The sequence below is a fragment of the Homo sapiens genome, chromosome 13 (genome assembly GCF_000001405.40).
Source record: "Homo sapiens chromosome 13, GRCh38.p14 Primary Assembly".
In the NCBI taxonomy this organism is placed as follows: Eukaryota; Metazoa; Chordata; class Mammalia; order Primates; family Hominidae; genus Homo; species Homo sapiens.
The window spans coordinates 53,129,311-53,152,287 of NC_000013.11; the positions used below are offsets into that span (position 1 = coordinate 53,129,311).

At 41.4% G+C, this 22,977-nt stretch overlaps 1 long non-coding RNA gene across 1 annotated transcript; it reads right to left on the reverse strand.

Moving 5' to 3' along the window:
• Positions 1-2,435: 2,435 nt before the first annotated feature.
• LINC01065 (long intergenic non-protein coding RNA 1065) lies at positions 2,436-22,590 on the reverse strand. The gene is made up of 5 exons (NR_125788.1): positions 22,394-22,590; positions 20,047-20,194; positions 18,947-19,054; positions 17,557-17,592; positions 2,436-2,511 (listed from the first exon to the last, which is right to left on the reverse strand). It is a non-coding gene; the product is annotated as a long intergenic non-protein coding RNA 1065 (long non-coding RNA).
• Between the last annotated feature and the right edge of the window lie 387 nt (positions 22,591-22,977).

Here is a 22,977-nt window from a genome sequence, read left to right on the forward strand (position 1 = left end):
CTGGATGCTGGAGACCTGTTTCGGTGCTGATCCTGTCTCAGCTCTGCTAGATTTAGTTTCTTGCTTTGGTCTCTTGGATTGACTAGTTCATCTATTCTGACTTGCCTTTTCATTGGTTCTAGCTTCTGGAATCTTTCTGGGCAGGTGTTCATCTAGTTTTGATTTCACAGATTTGGGCTTTTTGCTGTCTATTTTTAGACATATTTATTCAGGAATTACCTGCTGAACACTTCTAGCTTGTCTGGGTTCTCCACACCTTGCCTTTCAATGGTCTATACATGGCATTAGTTGTCAGGGCACATAGGTTCAGTGTACTAATAATGAGTGTGGGTCACAGTCATATAGTCGTTTTGGGATTGATGTAGAGGGTCAGATTGGTTCAGAGAACTTTGGAGTAGGTAAAAATTAAACAGAAAATAATTGCCATCTTCCTTCTTGGCATCTTTGTTTTTAGGGGGTTTTGGGGGTCTCAAGACTTTTCAAACATCCAAAGAAGCTATATATGCATAACAGGATAACTTCCCATTTACTACAATTGTTTGCATTATGAATGATGTTGTTTAGTGTGGGGACAGTATTAACGACCTTTTAACATTATGTAAAAAGCCTTTTTCTAGAAGGTAAAAGCTAAAGAATTGTCTGGGGCTTATGCAGCCTTCCTGAGAATTGATTATGTGAAGTATCCCCTGAGGGGTAAGGAATGTGAGAAGGTAGGTGGCTTTTCTGAGGGCCCCTTACAGTTTTAACATAGCTTAATGTTTACCCTCTAGGATCACAGAGCTTGGAATTCAGTAGGTAGCACCAGGTTTGGTGGCTTATGCCTGTAATCCCAGCACTTTGGGAGGCTGAGGCAGGAAGATTGCCTGAGGCCAGGAGTTTAAGACCAGCCTGGGCAACATAGCGAGACCCCATCTCTTAAAAAAAAATTAGCCAGGTATGGTGGCACACACTTGTAGTCTCAGCTACTTGGGAGGCAAGAGGATCTACCTGAGGCAAGAGGATCTCTTGGGACCAGGAGCTCAAGGCTTCAGGGAGCTATGATCATGCCACTGCACTCTAGCACTCCAGCCTGGGTGACAGAGTGAGGCTCTGTCTTTAAGAAAAGAAAGAAAGTCAGTAGGTAGAAAGGTTTAAGGAAAAAGAAGACATAAGAGGTGCATAATATGTGTTTACTACTTTTTAAAAATTAGAGATGCCAAATATTAAGCTTCTTTCAATTACTATATATATTTTCATAAAGAATAACTCTACTGAACTTATGAAAACAATATAGCTCATTATAAAGAAGTCAAGCAGCAAAGAAAGGTACAAAGAAGAAAGCAAAAAAGTCACTCCGTATCCCACTATACAAAAATAACTATCATTAACAAAGGGCAATATCATCCTATGTATCTCTCTCTATAGAAATAAAGACAGGAAAAAAAATACAGAAAAACTGAATTTGGAATATTCTGTAACACAATTTAAAATAAAAAAATTAACTGTACTTAATTTAAAAAATCCTAAAAAGTGAAATAAAGCAAATTATTCATTTTAAGTACAAGAAACATTAATTCCCAAAATATTTTCTAAAGTTTAAAAAATAAGGTATAAAAGAATATTAAAAGATTGGTGTCATTATACTCTTTAACTTCATGCACCAAGTGTAGGCAGTATTTATTAAATATTAAGAAAAACTGGGAAAACTGCTATATTACTATTTTTATGCGATTCACCTCTATATAACATTTATTTGGTGTTTATAACCATTACAAAGTATTATGACAATTATTTTGCCTTGTTTTATATGTAAATGAATTCAGTGCTCATAACTAGCCCTTTTCCCATGGCCTCTCTATTTTTGAGATTTTCATTTGATCAGCATAATCATGATTGCATTTCTTTAATGAGTAGGTTGCTCCCTCAAAGAATGGCTGTGATTCTTTGTTTGCTTCTTTCCCTCAGAACTCTGGAGACTTTGCTTGCAGAGAGTCTCTTGAAGAGTCTGGAGACTCTTCATCTGCATTCCTTCTTCATTTTTGAAGTAGCTGTACCTCAGCTTTGAAAATTGCTAATGATTAATATTTATCTTATGAACTATTAATCATATAGAACCTACCTGATGTTAGTGGGTATCAGGCTACCTACCAGGTAGAAGTATTAGGTAGACTGGCGACTGATTTGGAGCAGTCATCAATTGTTAGTTCTCTTGCCTGGGTGGTGTGGGAGGATCCCCACTCAACTCAGTTCTAGGAGCAGATGTTACTCACTCAAAAGTCCCACGTCACAGTCTCAGCGTATTGAAATCTGACTGTTACTGCCTTCTCTCCCTTCTGTACCCAGCTTTCCATCTGTTAGTCTCTCTTAGGTAGGATGAGAAGTCCCACTCAACATGATTTCTCCTGGCTCCACTTGTAACTCTGCAAGGTCAATCCACACCTCTAAAGGGCTGTTTGCTTCTTGTGGTTTACCACATCTATCCATCTTATGCTTGAAAACATAGTTGTATTTGGCTTGGCCTCTATGATGGACCTGCACAATATTTCAACAAACAGATGATTGCCTTATTTTCTAATGGTTAAGAATCAGGAGATATTGCACACAAAAATATGAGTTTCTGGCTTCTCTTGAAATATCAATGACTTGATGATACTGGGACCACATTCCTACAGCCATCTAGAGGTAGGATGCCCTGTTCTGAAATGCCACAGTCCCCACATTCCCTGTTTCTCTTTGACATAGGCTGTGTCAGCCACTTACGTTAAATGCCTGGCAGCTGTAAGATTTGAATGTGTAACCACTTTTTAAGCAAAACATCTTGCAATTGAACTTTTTAGGTATAGGGTGATAGCTTATTGGATAAACCTTTTGAGTGATTATTTATGGAGCACCTGTTTGGTATCTGGCACTGTGTCAGATGCTAGAGATATAAGATAACAAGATGTAGTTGCTGCTGCTAAGGAGTTCCATCTAGTTTGGGAAATAAACAGCCAACAGATAGAAATCGTATCTTTTGACATGTGCCTCTGATACGTATATAAACAATAAGAGATAGCATCTGTCAAGGAGTTTATGAAAAATACAATTAGTCCTAAAGCATGTTTTAGGAAGAAAAGAGTGATCCCATCTTGGGGCCTTCAAGGCAAAGTATTTGAGCTTGTTCTTAACGGCTTTGCAAGATTTTAATTGGCAGGGGGGTGAAAATTGAATAGCCCAGAGGAGACAAGGCTGTAAGCAAACCAGAGCACAGAAATGAACAAGAAACGAGATAACCCGGGCACTGCAAGTCATGCTGCTAGCGGGAACTGAGGCTTCATTTTTGGCAGTTGGGAAAGATATGGCTTAGAAAGGTAAGTTAGGGTGAGATGGGCAATGCTAAGATTTGAGTTTTATCCTTCGTACAGTGAGAAGTGACCTCAGGATGCAATGAGTGGAATGACATGATCAAAGAAAGGTTTTGGTGGATTAGATATTCTACTCAAGCAGGATGAATTAAAAGGAGAGAAATGCAAAGAAACTAAAATTTATGGACTACTTGTTATATACAAAGCACTGTGATGTTAAAAAAAAAAACCTGGATGCTTATGGGATTTTCTCCCCTAATACCTGAATTTTAAGGAATGCAAACAAGATATGTCTTGATGTGTGTATCGATGTATTCATTGTATGATACTTGGTGAACCCTTTCAAACTGAAGACTCTTGTCTTTTTTAGTCCAGGAATGACTTTATTTCTTTGATTATTGATCTTTTGAATACTTTGATCTCTCTTTCTGGAATTCTTGTTACACATAAGTACTAGATCTTCTGGATCATTCCCCCTGTGTTTCTCATTTATTTAATACTTTATCACCTTTATCTCTTACACTCTAAGTTATGGGGAAATTTCTTGAACTTGTGCTGTAATTAAATATTCAGTTTTAATACATAATCCATTTGCTATGCACTGCACTTATTGCATTCTAAAAGTTATCTGTCTTTTTAAACCAGTAATAAATATTTTCTGATGTCAAAAAATAAAATGGCATTATAAATGATATTTTAAAAAATGCTCTATGAAGTTATCTCACTGAAATCCTCAGGAATGTACCTATAGGAGGCATTTTTATTTCTATTTTAAAGAAAAAAACTAAGGTTCAAAAAGTTTATGAGTCTTTCCCAAAGTCTCAAATCTAGTATGTGAAAGTGCCTGGAATAGCTTTCCTGACTGTCTGACTTCAAAAACCTTGGTTTGACCACTTCGTCTATATCATGAGGAAGGACTGGCATCACAGAGAGCTCATAATAATTATTATGCTTATATCACATGTGCCAAGATACTAAAGAGATAAAAATGCGCAATTTATTCAGAGTCCAATCTCTATCCTTCTGGCCTTCTGAATTTTGGAGAGAATTTGATAGGGGTGGAGAAGGCTCTAAAGCATATCCTTTAATCCTCAACTGATCTATTAGCTCCCGACCAGAACAGCTGGAACAAAGACTCTGAAAAAGAATATTTTACTAGTAAATTTTTATATTTTATTTCTTCCTATCCAAAGAGAGTCTTTTAAGCTCTCAAGGGAAGGGAGAAAAGGTGGGCAAGTCATGACGAGGGTAATGAGACTCTCCTGCTCCAAATTATTCAGAACACTTTAGCCACCTGCTTTGCCCAGAATCACCATGCCGGCAGAGACCAGTAGAGAACAAAGCAATGGTTTTTGGAGTAGTCTGGCACAGTGGGTTTTCTTCTCACCTCCCTGCAGGTGTGTGTGTGTGTGTGTTTGTGTGTGTGTGCATATACTAGTGCCACACTGACACAGCTGTTAGAATAAGCTCAAAGTTTTCTTATGTTAATCTCCAGGATTTTTTTCTCTCTAGTTCCAGGTAAGCTTTCCTAACCTTTTCTTAAGTAATATATATATATAAAATCTGGAGATAGAAATATTCACTTAAGTGATTTAGAAATACTTTTAAACAGTTTCATAGAAAAACCGCGAGAAAGAGAATTTAAAAAGCTAGCTCAAATTTCTCTTTTAGAAAGAGAATTTTGATTTGATTTTTTACAAGGTTTATGTATCTAGGAAGGAGAGAGGAAAAAGCCCTAGAGGGTATGCTAGCTAGTAAATTGTGGCACAGGTCTAGGATTTCCCTGGTTCCACTTATGCACAACCCCCATTCCACTTCTTCGGAGGCTCCTGTTCGGCTAGAGGCAGACCTGGGTCACCAGCAGCCTCAGGAGCCATTTCCTATTCCTTTGTGTTTCACCTTATTTAGTGCAAAGAAAAAGGCCACAGCAACAATGTATGGGAGGTAAGGCTGAAGACGTCTTTCCAGCTTCTTCTTCAGTGTACCTGGACTTGTCAACATCTAGCTTTGCTATGGAAGAACAATTCGTTGAGACTATTGCATCAAATAGTATTGAACATTCATCAGTCACAATAATGATGATTAAGGCTCAATGTGAATGACAGCTGGGGGCTCTTGGTTTCCACTATGTGTGACAGCAATCTGACAAAATCCTGAAACAGCCTTAGGGATAATGGTTGGACCAGAGTGTGGCATCTTCCAACTACATCCAGGGTGTTAAGTTTGGTTTTGAATGCCACACTGTGGAAGTGACAGGAACACATTTGAGCACATTCAGAGGAGGGCAATGAAAACTAGACAGGAAGTGCCCAGATACCGGAGGCACTGCAGATGCTTCATCTACAGGAAAGAGCCTGAAGAGGCACATTGACACCCAGGGTAGACTGGTTGTGTGCTGTTTCAGGCAAAGATAAATGCATTCTAGAAATGAGTTCTATGGAAGGAATAACTTTTCTAACAACGACAAAATGGGCTACTGTAAACGTAGTGAGCTCCCTAACATCAGAAATGCTCAAATGTATGCACCAGATGACCTACATCACAGATTCTGTGATCTTCTGATTTACTGGAGTCTTGCAAGTGACTTATTTAAACAAGTCCATGTATAGCTGCCAGCTGTGGTTGATGCCTCTTTCCTTTCCTAACAGTCTCTTCAACCCAATCTAAGCTGGCTTCCATTCCAGCAACCTCATGGAGATTGCTTCTGTCAAGGCGACCAGCAACTCTCAGTCACCAAACCCCAATCTTCTCTGTCTCTAACCTATTTAACTTTTTCAGAAGCATTTAGCACAATGGCAACTCCTACTTTCTGGAAATAGATTCTCCTGCTGGCTGCCATGACCTCATATTCACCCAGTGGTTTCCTTCCTACCTCACTGACATTCCTATCAGTCTCGTTTGCTAATTATTCATCTTCTCCTCAACATCTAAATGTTGACATGCCCCAGGGCTCCCCTTAGAATTCTCTTTTCTTCTCTGTTTGTGTTGACTCTATGTGGTGGCTTTAAAACATGTGTGCAAACTCCTTGACACTCCTCTCATCCAGAGGTGAGATCTATGTCTTCTCCCCTTGAATTTGGGTTGAACATAGTAATTCATTTGTAATCATTAGAATGCAGCAGGAGAGATAATTTGTAACACCAAGGGCTAGGTCCTAAAAGACCATGAAGTGTCCACCGGGTTCCTTGGGACATTAGTCTTAGGAATCCTGAGCTTCCGGCACTGAGGTGGTCACAGTGACAGGAAGCCCAAGCCTTTCAGGGGGCCATGTGTAGTGCTCCAGCTGAGGACTCAGGCATCACGGAGCAGAGACAAACCTTCCCTGTTGTGTTCTGCCAAAGTTTTGACCCACCATGAGCATAGCAAAATGGTTGCTTTAGGTCACTAAATTTTGGGGTGGCTTGTTATGCAGCAACAGAACTGATACATTCCCTAAGGGGGCTCATGCTGTAGCATGACTTTAAGTACCGCCTATAAAAGCTTATGAGTTCCAAACCCACTTTCCAGCCCTGATCTCTTCCCTGAACTCCAGACTCTTAAATCCAATTATCCACATGTTTACTTGATCTCTCCATATGGGTATTTAGTAAGCATTATCTGAAATGCAATATGACTAAAACAGAAAGCTCAACATTAACCTTTGTCCCTTGAGCTTATTTCTTCTCTCTCCCCCATTTCTGTATACATCTAGTTTTTCAAGTCAAAACTGTTAGTCTTATTTCTGCCTTTTACCCCTAAAATCATCAAAGTATACCTAGAATCTGTCCCGTTCTTTCCATCTCATCTGCTTCTGTCCTAATCCAAGTTATCATAATCTCTCTTCTCATCTACTGTCATATCCACTGAACCAGTTTTCTTTCTTTCACTCTGGCTCTCTAAAATTCCATTTTCTACACAGTAGCCTATATTAGTTATTTATTACTGTGTAGCAAATTACCCCCAAATGCAGTAACTCAAAACAGTAATATTGATTATCTCACAGTTACTGTGGGTAAGAAGTCTGGGTACAGCTTATCTGGGTTCTCTGGCAATGATCTCAAAGCTTGACTGGGAGGGAGCTGCCTCTTAGCTCACCCATGTGATTGTTGGCAGGATTCAGTTTTACCAAGAGCCCAGCTTCCTCATGGACTGTTGGCTGGAATCCTCCTGCGGTTCCCTTGTCAGGTGGGACTCTCCCTCAGGCAGCTTACAACATGGCAGTTGGCTTCATTAAGGTGAGGGAGAGGGAAAGAGAAGGAGGACTGGCAAGTCATAGCGTTTTGTAACCTAATCATGGAAGTGACATCCCATCACTACTGCCATGTTCTGTTAGAAGCAAGTCCCTCAGTCTGGCCCACTCTCAAGGGGAGGGGTTCATACAAGAGTGTGCATACCAGAAGGTGGGAATCACTGAGGGCCATGTCAGAAGCTGCCTACCACATGGCCCCAGCGTGATCTTTTAAAATCATAAATCACCCCTCCTTAAATCATATCACACCCCTTCTTAAAACTTCCAATAGCTTTTGCTACATTTTAGAATGAAATCCAATATCTCATTGTTTTGCAGAGCCCCACATGTGTAGCCTGCTTTTCTCACCTCTAATGTTACGATGCTTTATTTAATCAGTTTCACTCCAGCCTTCCTGTTTTTCTTTCTGTTCCTTGAATTCTCCAAGTATGCTCCTTCCTTGGGGCTGTACATTAGGTGTTCCACCTTTTTGGATCACTTTCCCCTGTTTATATAGAGATAGCTGGGTTTTCTCATACAGGTCTCCACTTCAATGTCACTTCCTCAGAGAGACATCCCTGGCTGCTCAGCTTAAGGTGGATCTCTAGCCTCTGTCACATTAACCTCTTTCATTCTCTGCATTGCTCTTATTCCTATTTATATTATTCTTATTCCTATATTCATTAATTTACTTACCATCAGTCTCTTTCCTCCCTTCTCTCCCACAAGTAGAATGAATTTAATGGGTTGACCAGTTCCAACTTTGGGTCATTCACTCTACACCTTTAGTAATATCAGTCTCTATTAATAGAATTGCCAGGGACTTTCTGGCAATTTTCATTACTACACAATTTTCATTTCTATACAATTTTCTGTACTACTATTACAAAATTTTCATTACTAAGTTTATAACAATAGCTGACAGTTATATGATACTTATAAGGTGGCAAATACTGTTTCAAATGCTCATTTAATCATCACAACATCCACATTCTACAGATAAAGAAAGCCAGGCACAGAGAGGGTAAGTAAGTTGCCCAAGATCACATAGGTAGTAAGTAGGATGGCTGGAATATGACCTCAGGATCTAACTTTGCAGTTCTTGCTCTTAATGAGCACACTTTCCTCCCATTCGTGACATGTACAATTCTGCAACATCCCTCCATCATTACTCAACACAGGAATAGGCAGGTTGCCAAATTCATGCAATTCCCACTAGTCACTGGAAGGCATTTCCCCCCCAAAGTATGCAGAACCTGTAGTTTTTAAATTTGTTTATTGTCTTAACTATATTTCTACCATTTTAGTGCCTGTGTTTCAACTATCTGGGATAGGGAGAGGAGAAATGTTGAAACGTAAAGAGATACATTCTCCAAAGTGCTCTTTGAAGCCATCGTTTTACCCAGGGAACAGATTATGTTTCTAAATATCTCTCAGATCTGCCCCGGCCTGGAATCGCAAGAGGGCTTTCAGAAGTTTTTCTAGCTTTTTGGCAGGAAGAGAACAACTGCTAGCTTGGTTATGACCTAAAAAAATACTCCCTTGCTCTAAAGATGTTATTGACTCAATGATATTCTCTGTGTTACACCATCAAACACCCCCCTTGGCTGTTAACAGTACAGAGTTTTACTGTGTAATTGCTTCATTTTCCATCCATGTGGAGCTACCCGTACGGTTCCACTATCCCATCTAGTCCCCCTGCAAACTTCTCTCCACGCACATTTTGAAATTTAGCTGGTAATTTTCCAGCAAAGAAATTTCTCCTGCCCAGATAATGATGATCACATGGCAGACAACAGGGGCAGGCCAGTTGCCAAGCACCGAGACGGAATAAACATCACCCAGTTTCCTTTTCCCTCCCTCTTGAGAAGGAACGGTGATGTCTTGAGAGTCAGAAAGAAAACAGTGACCAAATATACATGATTTACTGAAAAATATGCAGGGCTTTGTTGGGAGGTCTGTCAGGGATGTTGTCTCCTCAGGGAGCCCGCCTCTTCCCACTGCTGCGCGCAGACGGCCTGCACGCGGACGCCATTTTCTTTGGTACACGCTGTCTCTGGGTAGAAAGGCTATTTTTTGTTTAAGCTGAATATTCACCTGAACAAATAGCAGATGTTGATGAATATTAATTTGTGCTTAGATTAATGCTTCAAAGTGTCAATTTAATTTCTGTTTTACTATTCAGGCCCTGATTGCAATGAGCTACTTCAGGATGTGGGGGAGCATACACCTGGCTGGGGGCGGGGCTGGAGGTCTTCAGGGAGTGGAGCCGGGTCTTCGGGCTTTTATCTCTGCAGTGGGACAATGCAGAGATAAAATTGTCTCCAGTGGAGTCCAGATTCCCCCTGGAAGTCCCCCAGCTGTGCACTGGCACAGTGGAGAGCTGGCAGCTCCTGAGAGACAGAGAGAGAGAGAGAGAGGGGAGAGACAGCAAGAGAGCGAGAGCTGAGCAAGTGCTTAAGCTGGGCTCCAGGCTCCAAGTGGGACAGGCTGCTGGGATTGCTGGGATGATCCCCTCGTGGTCTCCTTTTAACATATCTGAGTCCATTTCTCTTGCTGACTTTTTAGGTTCCTGAGAAGTTTAATTCTAATTTGTATCCTCCTAAACCCACATGGTGAGGGGAACACAGCATGAATTTGAACTCAGGCATTTTAGAGTTTAAATGCTTCGCTTTCCTGAGTCTCAGTTTCCTCCCTCGTAATACAGAGTTAGTGAGGGGACCAAGTGGTACCTGTGTTCCATGCTTATGAAGGGCCTGGCACCAAGTGGCACTCCGTAAATTAGATCCCTATCCTCCTTCCCTTCTGATGGATAAACTCATTCTCAAAGAATGTAAAAATTTAAACTTTTCCTTATTGAGTTTTCAAATATCTCTCTGTTGTGTATGTTTATTTCTTTACGTTGCTCAGTTTCCTGATTCTCTGACTTATTAGCAACTCGGTAAGTACACATGACATAAATGTTTCTATTTTGAGTTTTTCTGCCAGAATAATGTGAATGCCATGGTTTTGTTTGTTTGTTTTTTAAAGAATGCTTATGGCACCATATTCCATATTTGTCTTGTTCGTCCTTGACCTATGTTGCTGCTTCTCTGTCAGCTGGACAAAGAGAATGAATTTCTGTTTCATTGAGAATTGCCCTTTGAAGTCTGGGTGAAGTGGCTCGGCTGTGCGCGGTGGCTCATGCCTGTAATCCCAGCACTTTGGGAGGTCTAGGTGGGTGGATCACCTGAGGTCAGGAGTTCAAGACCAGCCTGGCCAACCTGGTGAAACCTCATCTCTACTAAAAATACAAAAATTAGCTGGGTGTGGTGGCAGGCGCCTGTAATCCCAGCTACTCTGGAGGCCGAGGCAGGAGAATCACTTGAACCCAGGAGGCGGATGTTGCAGTGAGCCGAGATGGTGCCATTGCACTCCAGCCTGGGGGACAGAGTGAGACTCCATCTCAATAAAAAGAGAATTGCCCTTTGCAGACCTAACCTCTGTCCTACCGTGGACTTGCCTTGTCATTTTGCCTTCTTGTTCTTTCCACCTCGCACACTCTCATCCTGCAGACCCCAGATTGTCAGCAGATTACTAACTGCAATCAAAAGAATCCTGAGTAATGCCAGTGTGTAGGATTTTAAGATCTAGAGTTGCTGTGGTGGAAACTGTTGATGGCAGGTTTCAGCATGCTCTGTGGATTCCCACCTCCCTCTAGTTCTCTTCCTGTTATGTTTGTTTCCCAGGGCTGTGATCACAAAGTACCAAAACCTGGGTGGCTGAAAATAACAGAAATTTATTATTTCATGGTTGTGGAGACGAAGTCCAAAATCACAGTGTAGACTGGGCTATGCTCCTTCTGAAGTCTTTAAAGGAGAATAACTTCTTGCCTCTTCCAGCTTCTAGTGGTGACCTTCGATCTTTAGTGTTCCTTGTGTCTCTGTCTTTCCATGGTGTTATTCTTGTGTTTTCACATTATGTTATGTCTGTGTGTATTTGTGTCCAAATTTCTCCTTTTTATGAGGATAGTAGTTATGTTGGATTTGGTTTCATCCTAGAGTTAAATTGGTTACACCTACAGGGCCCTTATTTCCAAATAAGGTCATATTGTGAGATATTGGTTATATATGAGCTCAGGACTTCTTACTTCAAGTCTGTTCATCAGGGCAAACTTGTATTGATTCAGCAACGACCTTCATTTTCTCTTCAACTGTTAACCTCTCTACCTTAACCCTAAGAAATCCTGTGTGTCCTTGCTATCCCCTCCATCAACATTCTCTGGTCCCTCTGTCTTTATCTTTGGGATTTCTGTGACTCTGGCCTCTGCCCCCACTCTCTGACCAGCAGTTTTGGCTCCTGCTGGGTGCTTTCTCCTCTGCTCTTCTCTTTTGTTTCCTTGCAAGGACATTTCTTTTCCTTGCCCTTCTCCCTTCCATCTCACTCTCTTTGTTATTAATTCTTTCAACACTGCAGCATCCTGGTCCCTGATATCATTTACCTATATTGAAAACTGGCTGGTAATTTCCATCTTCTTTGTTTATACATCAGCACAATTCTTTACCACTTTTTCTTGACACTCCTCTGTTTTTTTCAAAGCAACACACATAGCTTCCAGTGTATTTTAAATAGCCTTAAGACACCACTTTATACTGGAACACAGCCCAGTTTCCTACCTCTGCTGCCTCTTCCAAACACGACGTGGGTCCCCTGGGGGATATTGCCTGTTCTTTCCCAAGCGCTGAGAGGTGCCCTCTTGCTAATGTTATGGCATGGTGCTTTTTCAACAAAACTTAAGGAGTCTAGTTGGCTGCTCTTTTAACAAGCTTAGTGCCCTTCCTGGGAGAGTTACTTGAACTCATTTGAAAGATTACCTGGCTGATACTTCTGCCTGAAAGAATAACTATCCTAAAGTACCCGAGGTAGGTGAAAACCTAGCTTATATTTAAAACCTCCAGAAAAGGAGAATCAGTTTAACTCCCTTGATTAAAAATAATCCCCAATTTCAGGGCCCCATATTTTCTTCTGCTGTATTGTACATACTTATGTTCTGATTGATCTGATCTTCTTTATCACTTTTTAGGTACTATATGTGTGCTGGAAAATGTCAAATCTAATTCCCTTGGCTTAATACCTTGCCCAAGCTCCAGATCGATATTTTTAGTTCTCTGTCATCTCCCTGGGTGTCCTGAAGGCACTTTACACTTAGCATTCCTCCGTCCCTGCTGCCTTCTTCCTCTTGTAGTCTAGATTTTGGTTACCAGCCTCAGTCACATCCCCCATCTCCCAAGTTATACAGCATTATCCCTGGTCGTGTCTCTAATCAGTTAGTGAACCCTACCATTCCAGCAGAGGAGGACTATTTCTATTGTATTTCTGTTTTATTCTCATCCTCTTCCTCAACATTTCTCACTGAACTCCAGCATCTCTACCAGTCTTCCTCTCCAGTCCCTCTTCATCCCAATTCAAGTATACTTCTTTTGAAAAAGTAAAGTTGACCATGTAACTGTTTTTTCTTTGAAACTCTGTTGGTTTCCCATTGCCTGGGATCAATCTCTGAACTCCATATGTTGTCATTCTGGGCTTCTCAAATCTGACTCTGACCTTCTCATTCTTCAAGCTCTGGCCCTCTACTCTCTCTCTCCACCCCCAAGCGTACGAAACTTTGCCAAACCAAGCCTCTCATTGTGTCTTGGAAACAACATACCGTTCATGCCTTTGCACTTTTGCATATACTGTTTCCTTTGCTTGAGATGCCCTTTCCTCCCTTCATTACCAGACAAATTCCTTCTCGCCTTTGAGACCTAGTGCAATGTTAAATTCTTGGTAATAGTAGTAATAGAATCCCCCTTGCTAGAGTTGATGTTCCTCTGTACGGCATCCCATGGTACTTTATTCACAGTTGCATGGTACTACTCTGTACTTTATAATTTCCTTTGCCTCCTTCATTAGACTATTCACTCACCAACAGCTAGTACACAGTGCCTGGTGTTCAACAGGAAAGCCATGAATGTAACTCAACTCTATGTCTTTTTATCTCTTTACCTTCCTTCCCTTCTTTTTTTCTCCCCTTAGAGAAAAATCTGAGATAGTGTTTCAAAATCTACATTGTACAAACTATCAAAAAACAAACTAGCTGAGGTTTTAAAAAAGGTGGTGGCAGTGGATACTGCTCAGCCATAAAAAAGAATGAAATCCTGTCTTTTGCAGCAACATGGACAGAATTGGAGGCCATTATCTTAAGTGAAACCAGTCAGACACAGAAAAACAAATACCATGTGTTCTCACTTACCTGTGGGAACTAAATAATGTGTACCTATGGACGTGGAGTGTGGAATGATGGACAGTGGAGGCTTGGAGGAGTGGGGGTGAGGTGGGAAGGGGCTGGATGATGGGAAGTTGTTTGGTGGGTACAGTGTGCATTGCTGTAGTGTTGCAGACACTGAAGGCTCTGACTTCATCATAATTCAATGTATCAATGTAGCAAAATTGCACTTTTACCCCACAAATACAATCACATAAAAAATAAGATTTGAAAATCAAATTAAAAAAAAAAAGGTAGTGGGATCAAGTGAGGGATGGGGTTAGTGTATCTCCTGCCTGTCTTGAGTAGCCCAGCACTAGAGATGGCTGCAGAACTTTTTTTGAGCTTCCCAGCAGCACAAACAGAGGGTACAAGATCAGTTTATATAATTATTAGTATCTATGTAACAAAATAACTCATTTCTCTGGGAAACAGCAACCACTCTAAATCCTGAGACCTGAGAGAAGTTTCTCATGAGGGCATATGTGATTTAGTGAACACTGCCATCTTCTCCCTCTGATTTCCTGGCTGAGCTATGGAAAAATCGTATAATATTTGTCCAGTCTCTACATTAATGAGTTTTAATGAGGAAACAAATATATTTTGTTCTAGTCTGTGTCTGATAGGCAGGGACAGAAAAAAAGAGTAGAGAGGAGAGAGTCACCATTTTTGGACTAAAAGCCCTGACAGATTCATTCATTCACTCATTCATTCATCAAACAATAACTCTTAATTAAATGACCACTTTATAGGAAATTTCCCTTATACCCCTATTGCGCAATCTCTCCTATCTTAAAATTCGGCTGGAAATTATCTTACCACATATCAGCTCTTTCAAATCAGAGGCCAGAGGATGCATCGCCTAAATTGCTTTTTAAGGATTCAGCACTCAGGCTGGAGGTTTTTCAGTGGCAGCTAATGGTTGTCATAGGGAGGAACAAAAATGGCTCTTGGACATGCTTTGTTTTAAGCGTCCAGGGAACATTTTCTGGCTCTGGAAAGATTGCTTTCACAGAGCAATTTTAGCCATTATCAACTGAGAATAAAACCTACTTTACAAAATTAAATTAGCTAGTCTTCCCTCCCAGATTCATTTTTCCTCCTTTAGTGCGATGAAACCCATCTCTATTTAGCAGGCCATGTAACCTCTCCTACCTCGTTGTTCAAATCATTTAGTAAAATAAAAAGGCTTTAAAAAAGGAGGTTGCAAATATAAACACCAGTGCAATTAAGATCTCGACTCCATTACATTAATATAACTACTTTGCGTGGAGTTCATTATGATGCGCATCAGGGTTTTAATGTTTTCTCCGGTTTAGTGCTGTCCTTAGTTAGAAGGAAACAGCCTGCTCTAGGAAACAATTGCCTCTTGGGTTGGAAAATAGTTTGAATAGGATTCCATTGTGATTAATTAAACTCACACTTGATAAAGTAGAGAGAACCAAACAGTTGTTCTTCAAATTGACAGTGTATTCAGTAAATAAAAAAATTTATAACACCAAATTTAAATTTTTGTGATGTAATAATATAGTATGGAAATCACTCATCTTTATTTTTCTCTTTTTGCTGAAAACATGGTGAGCCTTTATTTTTTTTCCTATGCCAAAAATAGAGGCACAAACAAGAATGAGGGAAATTGAAAAAAAGGACTTAATTAGTGAGCGCCGGCATGATAATATGGATATAAGCCTTTATTTTCTCTCCATTACCCTCAAATTATTTCTCTCAAACATTTTATCAGACAATTCTTCTTCACAGTCAGCTCTAAATGTGTGCTGCCTCCATGAGGAGGGGCCGTCCATCTTTCTCCCTGCATAACAGCCTCCCTTCCTGGAAATCAGTCACCAAACTGAAAAGCAGCTCCTCTCCCCTTTCAGTTCCTCTCCTGACCTAACCCACGCCTCCACTCCACTCAGCAGGGCCTTCAGGAAATAACCATTGTCAGCCCTTAGAATATGAGGCAAGCTACGTCAGTGATATTAGAGAACTGTAACTAACGTGTCTGAAAGGAGAATAATGAGCCCTGCTTTGAAAAATGTCATTTTCACTCAGCCTCTCCTTCTCTCCGTCTCTCTATTTTGTCTTTGCCTTGTTTTCCTCTCTCCTTATGCCTTTCTTTGTGCCTGTGTTTTTCTGTGTCTGTCCATCCTCCTTAGTAGGTCCATCCGTTTCCTCTCCCTGAGCACCACCTCATCCCGGCATCCTTCTTTGCTTTCTCTCTCTCCCTCCTCCCTTCTCCTCTCCTCTTAAATTCTAAGTCTCTGGGTTGCAATCAAGATCCTTGAAGCCAACCAGGCGTGGTATCTCACGCCTGTAATCCCAGCACTTTGGGAGGCCCAGGCAGGTGGATCAGCTGAGGTCAGGAGTTCAAGACCACCCTGGCCAACATGATGAAACCCCATCCCTACTAAAAATACAAAAATTAGCCAGGCATGGTGACATGTGCCTGTAGTCCCAGCTACTTGGGAGGCTGAGGCAGAAGAATCAATTGAACTCAGAAGGCGGAGGTTGCAGTGAGCCGAGATCGCGCCATTGCACTCCAGCCAGGGCAACAAAGTGAAACTCCCATCTCAAAAAAAAAAAAAAAAAGAAAAAAAATCCTTGAAGCCAAATAAAGAGTGATGGAGCATGTCTCTGGAGAGTGTCTTGAATTAACTGGCAAGACTCAGGAACAGCTATTAATGAATCAAGGCAGCTAGCTCCCCAGGGTCAGCCAGTGTTACTGGGGCAGCACATTCAAATACTTTTGGTCGTCATTGAGAAGCTCAGTTTGGGCCTTAAGTGCTGATTTCTCTTCTGATGGAGTGTTGCTCCCAAGGCTACAGCAGGATCTGTGTGATACTTAAAGTTACCTCTCTTGGTGTTGTCCATTGTTGACACTGTCACCACCAAGGCATAGCCCACAGTGAGCTCTATGAGCTGACTCAGCTAGAGAGCAACATGGACCTGAGGTAGGTGGGGACAGGATTTAAACTTTCCTTAGCCATTAGGGTAGGGGTGTCCAATCTTTTGGCTTCCCTGGGCCACACTGGAAGAAGAAGAATTGTCTTGGGCCACACATAAAATACACTAACACTAACAATAGATGATTAGCAACAAACAAAGAAAAACACACAAAAAAATCACAATGTTTTAAGAAAGTTTATGAATTTATGTTGGGCTACATTCAAAGCTGTCCTGAGCCACATGCGGCCTGCAGGCTGCACATTGGACAAGCTTGCTTTAGGGTGTACCAAAGAAATATGTCCCCTTAAACACCTTCTACATTTTGGAGGAAAGCCAGCTTCTCACAGGGGACTGGTAGCTTTCTGATAAACAGCCTACTGGGCTAAGACACCCATAAGCATACTTGTTTGCTCGTGATGTGCAGGCTTGAGAAACAGAATTACCAAAGCATTCTGCAAATCCAAAGAGATGAAATACGATAGAAACTTTATTGATTTGGCACGCTTGACTTTCCCTTTCTGAGCTTTTGATGAATGTCTAGAACGAATGTATAACAAACACCCGTGGTCTAACTGCTGTCTACTGATTTCTGATTCTTTTTCCCTCTGTGACTTCACAGACCTTGTTTTACAGACTCTTCAAGACAGTTGAAATAATTTATTTTTAAAGAATAATTTATAAAATGAAAACTAAACCCAGGTTTTAGCCTTGTTCACCTAGCAAGAATAGAGGAAAAGAGTTAAAAATACTTTTAAAGTCTAGCTATTAGGGAATATAGCAGCTAAAAATTTACTTACTCTTACTTCTTACAATCTTTCAGTCCTTGGTGCCATCTATAAAGTTAGAAAAACAAGACTTAGAAAATCCTCAGGTCAGTTCAGTCTAAAACATATTTATTAACTATTATGTACCAGGTACTGATGAAGGGCAGGGATCCTGGGGTAAGTAGGACATGGTTCTTGCCCTCAAAGAGCTCACAGTCTTCATGGACCTTCCAGAGATTGTATGAGGAAAGTGCTGAGTAAATGTCACTTCTCTTCTTTTTACCTTGATATAAGGACTTTCTAAGGACAGTGGGCAAACACTCATTAGAATCCTTTCTTATCTTAAATGGTCAGGTTTCTTCCTATTTGTTTTGTGTTCTTGGTAAAGTGGTAGCATCTCTGTACTCATATACCACTTTGCATATACTTTTACTTCCAAACTGTGACCAGGGCATGTTTGTTAAATGCATGCATGCATGAGGGCCTGAATTGTTTTGCAATTACTTTTTAAAATCAATTTGTCTTTTACTTTGGACTCTATGAACTCTTTCAGGAAGAGAAGGCCATGTCTTTCTCATGTTTGTGTCCCCAAATAATATGTGCTCACAAAATCTCTTGGAGTTACATTTAATTTCATGCCTCCTTTTTGGGTGAAAAATGGGATGCTTTTCTCCTGGCCCTCATCCCGAACACACTGGGTGTGGGATTGTTGTGAGGACATATAAAGTGTGGATCTCAGTGGATCTGCGTAGCTTGGAAAGCGTGGTTTTGGGGGTGAGTGGTGGCAGCTATCATACATTATGAACAAGCATGGCAGTGTGTTTCTGGGTGTTCTGCTCTGAAGCGTTTCTGCAGAGACCAATTCTTAGCAACAATTAAGTAAGCATTTTTTTCTTCCTTCTGCCAGCTGTGAAATGAAGGTGTTGGCTACCTTCTGGTTTCCTCTAAATTAGCATACCCCTCTCTTGGTTGCAGATATTGTATATAAATCCTCTGTGGGTGCTTGTTCATTAGCTCCATGAAGTTTCTTTGGGTCTCTCCTCCCTTCCTTCTCTCAGAATCTCCCTGACATAAGCTCCTCATGGTTCCTAACCCTTCAGGCTTATCACTTTGTCTCATTGTCCTCTTGCCTGGTTTAGAGGTGGTAGCCTGATTTTGGAATTCTTAAGATACTACTGCAATGAAGAGCCTCTACATTTTACTTCTTAACAGTGACCCAGAGGTACCTCACCCCAGTTTCATCTTTGGTCCAGGGAATAGAACAGCCTAGGGCTCTTCACCTTGTTCTGTATCTGTGGAGAAAGCTGTGATTCCCCTAGGATGAGCTGATGTTCAGAATGAGTACAGCTTTCTCAACTGGAGGTGTAGGAGTAGGGGAAGATTATGGGTGGATCTAAGGTAAGCATCTTTCCTTCTTACTCACAGGACACACAGCTAGCCTTGCTTTCATCCAGGTATACAGCAGAAGAGGTTTGTGGATGTCATTTGCATCTCCTTGCTAAAGATAGGCAGCAAGTTCATATGCTGGCTCCTAGAAGGGAAAAGTTGGGAAATGCCATAAAGAACTTTTTTGGGATTAGAAACTATTGAGAATGCTTGCCTCATTATTAAAAAGATTCTAGAACAGGACAGATCTAAGGAGATACATCTGATCCTAGACTTTTTTTTTTTCTTGTTTTGGAACACTCGGAGTCTGGCCCTGTCACCCAGGCTGGAGTGTGGTGGCGTGATCTTGGCTCACTACAACCCCTGCTTCCCGGGTTCAAGCGATTCTCCTGCCTCAGCCTCCAGAGTAGCTTGGATTACAGGTGGCTTCCACCACGCCCAGCTAATTTTTGTATTTTCAGTAGAGACGGGGTCTCACCATGTTGGTCAGCCTGGTCTCGAACTCCTGACCTCAGGTGATCCACCCGCCTTGACCTCCCAAAGTGCTGGGATTACAGGCATGAGCCACCATGCCAGGCCTGATCCTCGACTTTTAAAGTCATTCCTCTACCCCCAGACATTCAGCTCCAGGGAAAGGACAGTGTCAAGGGCAAAGGCAGCAAAAATCTAAGGGTTTTGGAGAGTGGTTGGCAGGGCCAACTTAAGGGCCTGGCTCTGTAACTCTTTCTCATTTTTCAGGTGTCTCCTTAGCCCTTGGGAAGGCTTCTAGATGCCCAAATGCTGGGTTCTGTGTGCCCCCTTAACACACTGTGCCTACAATTCTGCCAGCCCCCAGCCCATCCAAGGCCCATGTTTGTGAGACCGTAACAGTACTGAATGCAGGGGCTGCTGCTTTTCCTGCATGTGCCTGCAGATATGTAATGTCACACAGACATTACGGGCATTCACTGGGGACTTGCTGAATGAGTATATTAGGCAGATCCTTTATAGCACAGGTGGTCCACTCTAGGAAAAGCCCTGCCACCTCAAAATGTCTCCAAGGTAACTTGTGCCCAGAATGTGCCCATGGAGTATTAACTTTAGGGTTTACATTTTTCTCCCTAATTCCTACACAAAGTCTGTGAATGAACACAATACCTTCTCTTCATGAATTTATAAAGGCCACCCTTGTCCTAGTTCCTAGCAAAGGCACATCTTCGATGAGTACTATTTCCCTTTTGATGATATGCAGGCAACCCTGGAAGAAGTGGCATTTTACACTGTCCAACAGGAATTAGATAAAAATCTGGAGAAATTTGTGGAGCAGATTGTTGTACCAGGAGAGAGCACATAGAAAATTAAATAAGTTAATATTTGAAAAGCACATAGTCAACACTATATAAGTCTTTTTAAATGGAGAAACAAAGTGTTACTGCTGTTATTGTTATTATTAGACATTAAAACATTATGCAGACTAGAACATTATTGCTTAAACTACCGAAGTTCTGATATTTCAAAGAGAAAATGTTTTACATTTTGGAAGTCTCCAAAATATAACATGGAAGTACTCTTGGCTTGAGGTTTATTCTATTTAACACCTTTCAATAGGGCAACATCTGGATGTTATCAAGGCTTGGCAAGATGAGATGCCAAAATTACAAATTCTGGAAATGCTGTGCATTAGGCACTCTTGTCTTTGCCTGTAATTGCCTTAAAGATATAAAAGAGCCTGATTGTAATAACTCCCCTAGTGTAACTATTCTTCATTTCTATTCCACAAGAGAAGATAGCAGGAAGTAATATCACTCTAAGGGTATGAGTACGGAGAGAAGGAGCTAATCCTTAAATATGTGTGCCCTGCATCTCAAATAAGCCCTGAACAACAGTGTGAAAGGATTACGGGTAATCTTATATATATCCCTTAACCTATTAACTGGAATAATTGTTGCACTAAGATAAGACGCCCCTAAGTATTCCAGGCTAGGTGGCCCTAGGTCAGAAAGCATTTATTATTTATTTCCTAAAGTCCTGTTCTCCAGTGATAGGGACGGAAATTTGGCAGACTGGGTCTCCCCTTGTCAAGCAAGTGAAATGGTTGTTTCATTTTTAATCTGGATCCTTTGCCCTGACAGATAAATCTGAAGAGTGCTGTTAAGAATGTGATGAATTGGGCTTCTGGTGATGTCTGTGGGAAAGGGAGCAAGATACAGCAGCCTGGAACTACTTTCATTGCACACAATTGCAGGTCTTTTAAAATGGTAGAGCCAACCATTGCCGAGAAGACTTAAGCAAGGAGAAAAGTTTGTCTCAAACATGCCTTGAATTCTGTCAGTGCACTTCATCTCTCATTTCAGGGAATGTGTTGAGGGTCTTTGGATTGAGCTGGAATGATGGAGAACACTTGAGTACTATTGTGTCTGAGTTAGTTTTGCCCCTGGGTACCATGACACTTTGTGAGCAGAGAAATGGGTGCTTCTGTGTTACAGTTCAACAGCTCTAGCTGGAGGTGAGCTGTGTAACACAGAGAGGGTAAGGCATGTCTGAGTCACTCTTGGTACCACGTGGCTAGGTACCATGCTGCCAAGCATAAAGATAAGCAGCAGTTTAATCCTTATTTGAGTAATCTGACCTGAGGAGATAGCCAAACTGTGTGATTACCATTCCCAACTAGACTTTTGAGATGGGCAGATCACCTGAGGTCACGAGTTCGAGGCCAGCCTGCCTAACATGGTGAAACCCCGTCTCTACTAAAAATACGAAAATTAGCTGGGCATGGTGGTGGGCTCCTGTAATCCCAGTTACTTAGGAGGCTGAGGCAGGAGAATCGCTTGAACCCAGGAGGCGGAGGTTGCAGTGAGCCGAGATCACACCATTGCACTCCAGCCTGGGCAACAGAGTGAGACCTTGTAAAAAAGAAAAAAAAAGAAAGAAAATAAAGAAAGAACAAAAGTGGTAAAGCAGTCAGGGTTTGGTCAGGAGACAGAAATCACAATAGTATAGTCATGAGCCGCATAATGACATTTCTGTCCAACACAGACTGCCTATATGATGGTGGTCCCATAGATTACAACACTGTTTTTACTGTACCTTTTCTATGTTTAGGTATGTTTGTATATACAAATACCATTGTGTTACAATTACCTACCACATTCAGTACAGTAACATTCTGTACAGGTTTGTAGCCTAGAAGCAATAGACTATGCCATATGGCCTAGGGTTGTAATAGGCTATACTATCATCTAGGTTTGTGTAAGTACATGCCATGATGTTCACACAATGATGAAATTGCCTAACAACACATTTCTCAGAACATATCCCCATCATTAAGTGAGACATGACTAATAGTTTGGACAGGGAAAACTTAATACCACATAAAAATAAGGAACTAATTAAAGGGTATTATCTACTAAGAAGTATAAAGGGAATTCTCAAGAAAACTGGGGTAAGACGCAGGGAGCAGTCACTAGGCATAGGGCTGAAAGACAGTATTCAAAGAAAGTATAACCTTGAAGGAAGTCCTTCCAGTTCAGTTTCAAGGCTGTGATTCATTTAATGTGGTCTAGTAGATGTCAGAGAAGTCCACTGAAGTGATGCAGGATGGGCTGCCGAGCAGGAAGCCACCTGTTGTGGTGAGGGTGAAACTCTTTGGAGGGTTTGTGTCATCAGGTCTTCTGCATGCCCCTACCAAGGGAGCTGCTGGTTGGCAAGGAGACAGCTCATTGTTTTCTAAGAACAGAGCTGGAACCAGAAGAGAAGCCCCTTCCTTGTGCAGTGTCCCTCTAGCGCCCTCTACTGACAAGGTCTAACATTGTGCCCGCTAACGAAAGAAATTAGGTCCAGCTCCAGTTATCATAATGTAGGGCAGAAAAGGGCATATGTGGGGTTCAGAGACAGTAAATTGGAACAGGCATAGGTGGGGAAGTAAAGGTTGTCTTAGAGAGGGGAGAGGAGGTTGGAGTGGGTGGAGCTGCGGATAAATTAGGATGAGACTAAGCGATGCACAGACCATGGTCCTGAAGTGTGGCTGAAAGAGTGGGGATGGAAAGGAGGGGGAATTAGAAGAATACTCAGGGGATGTAATAAATAGGT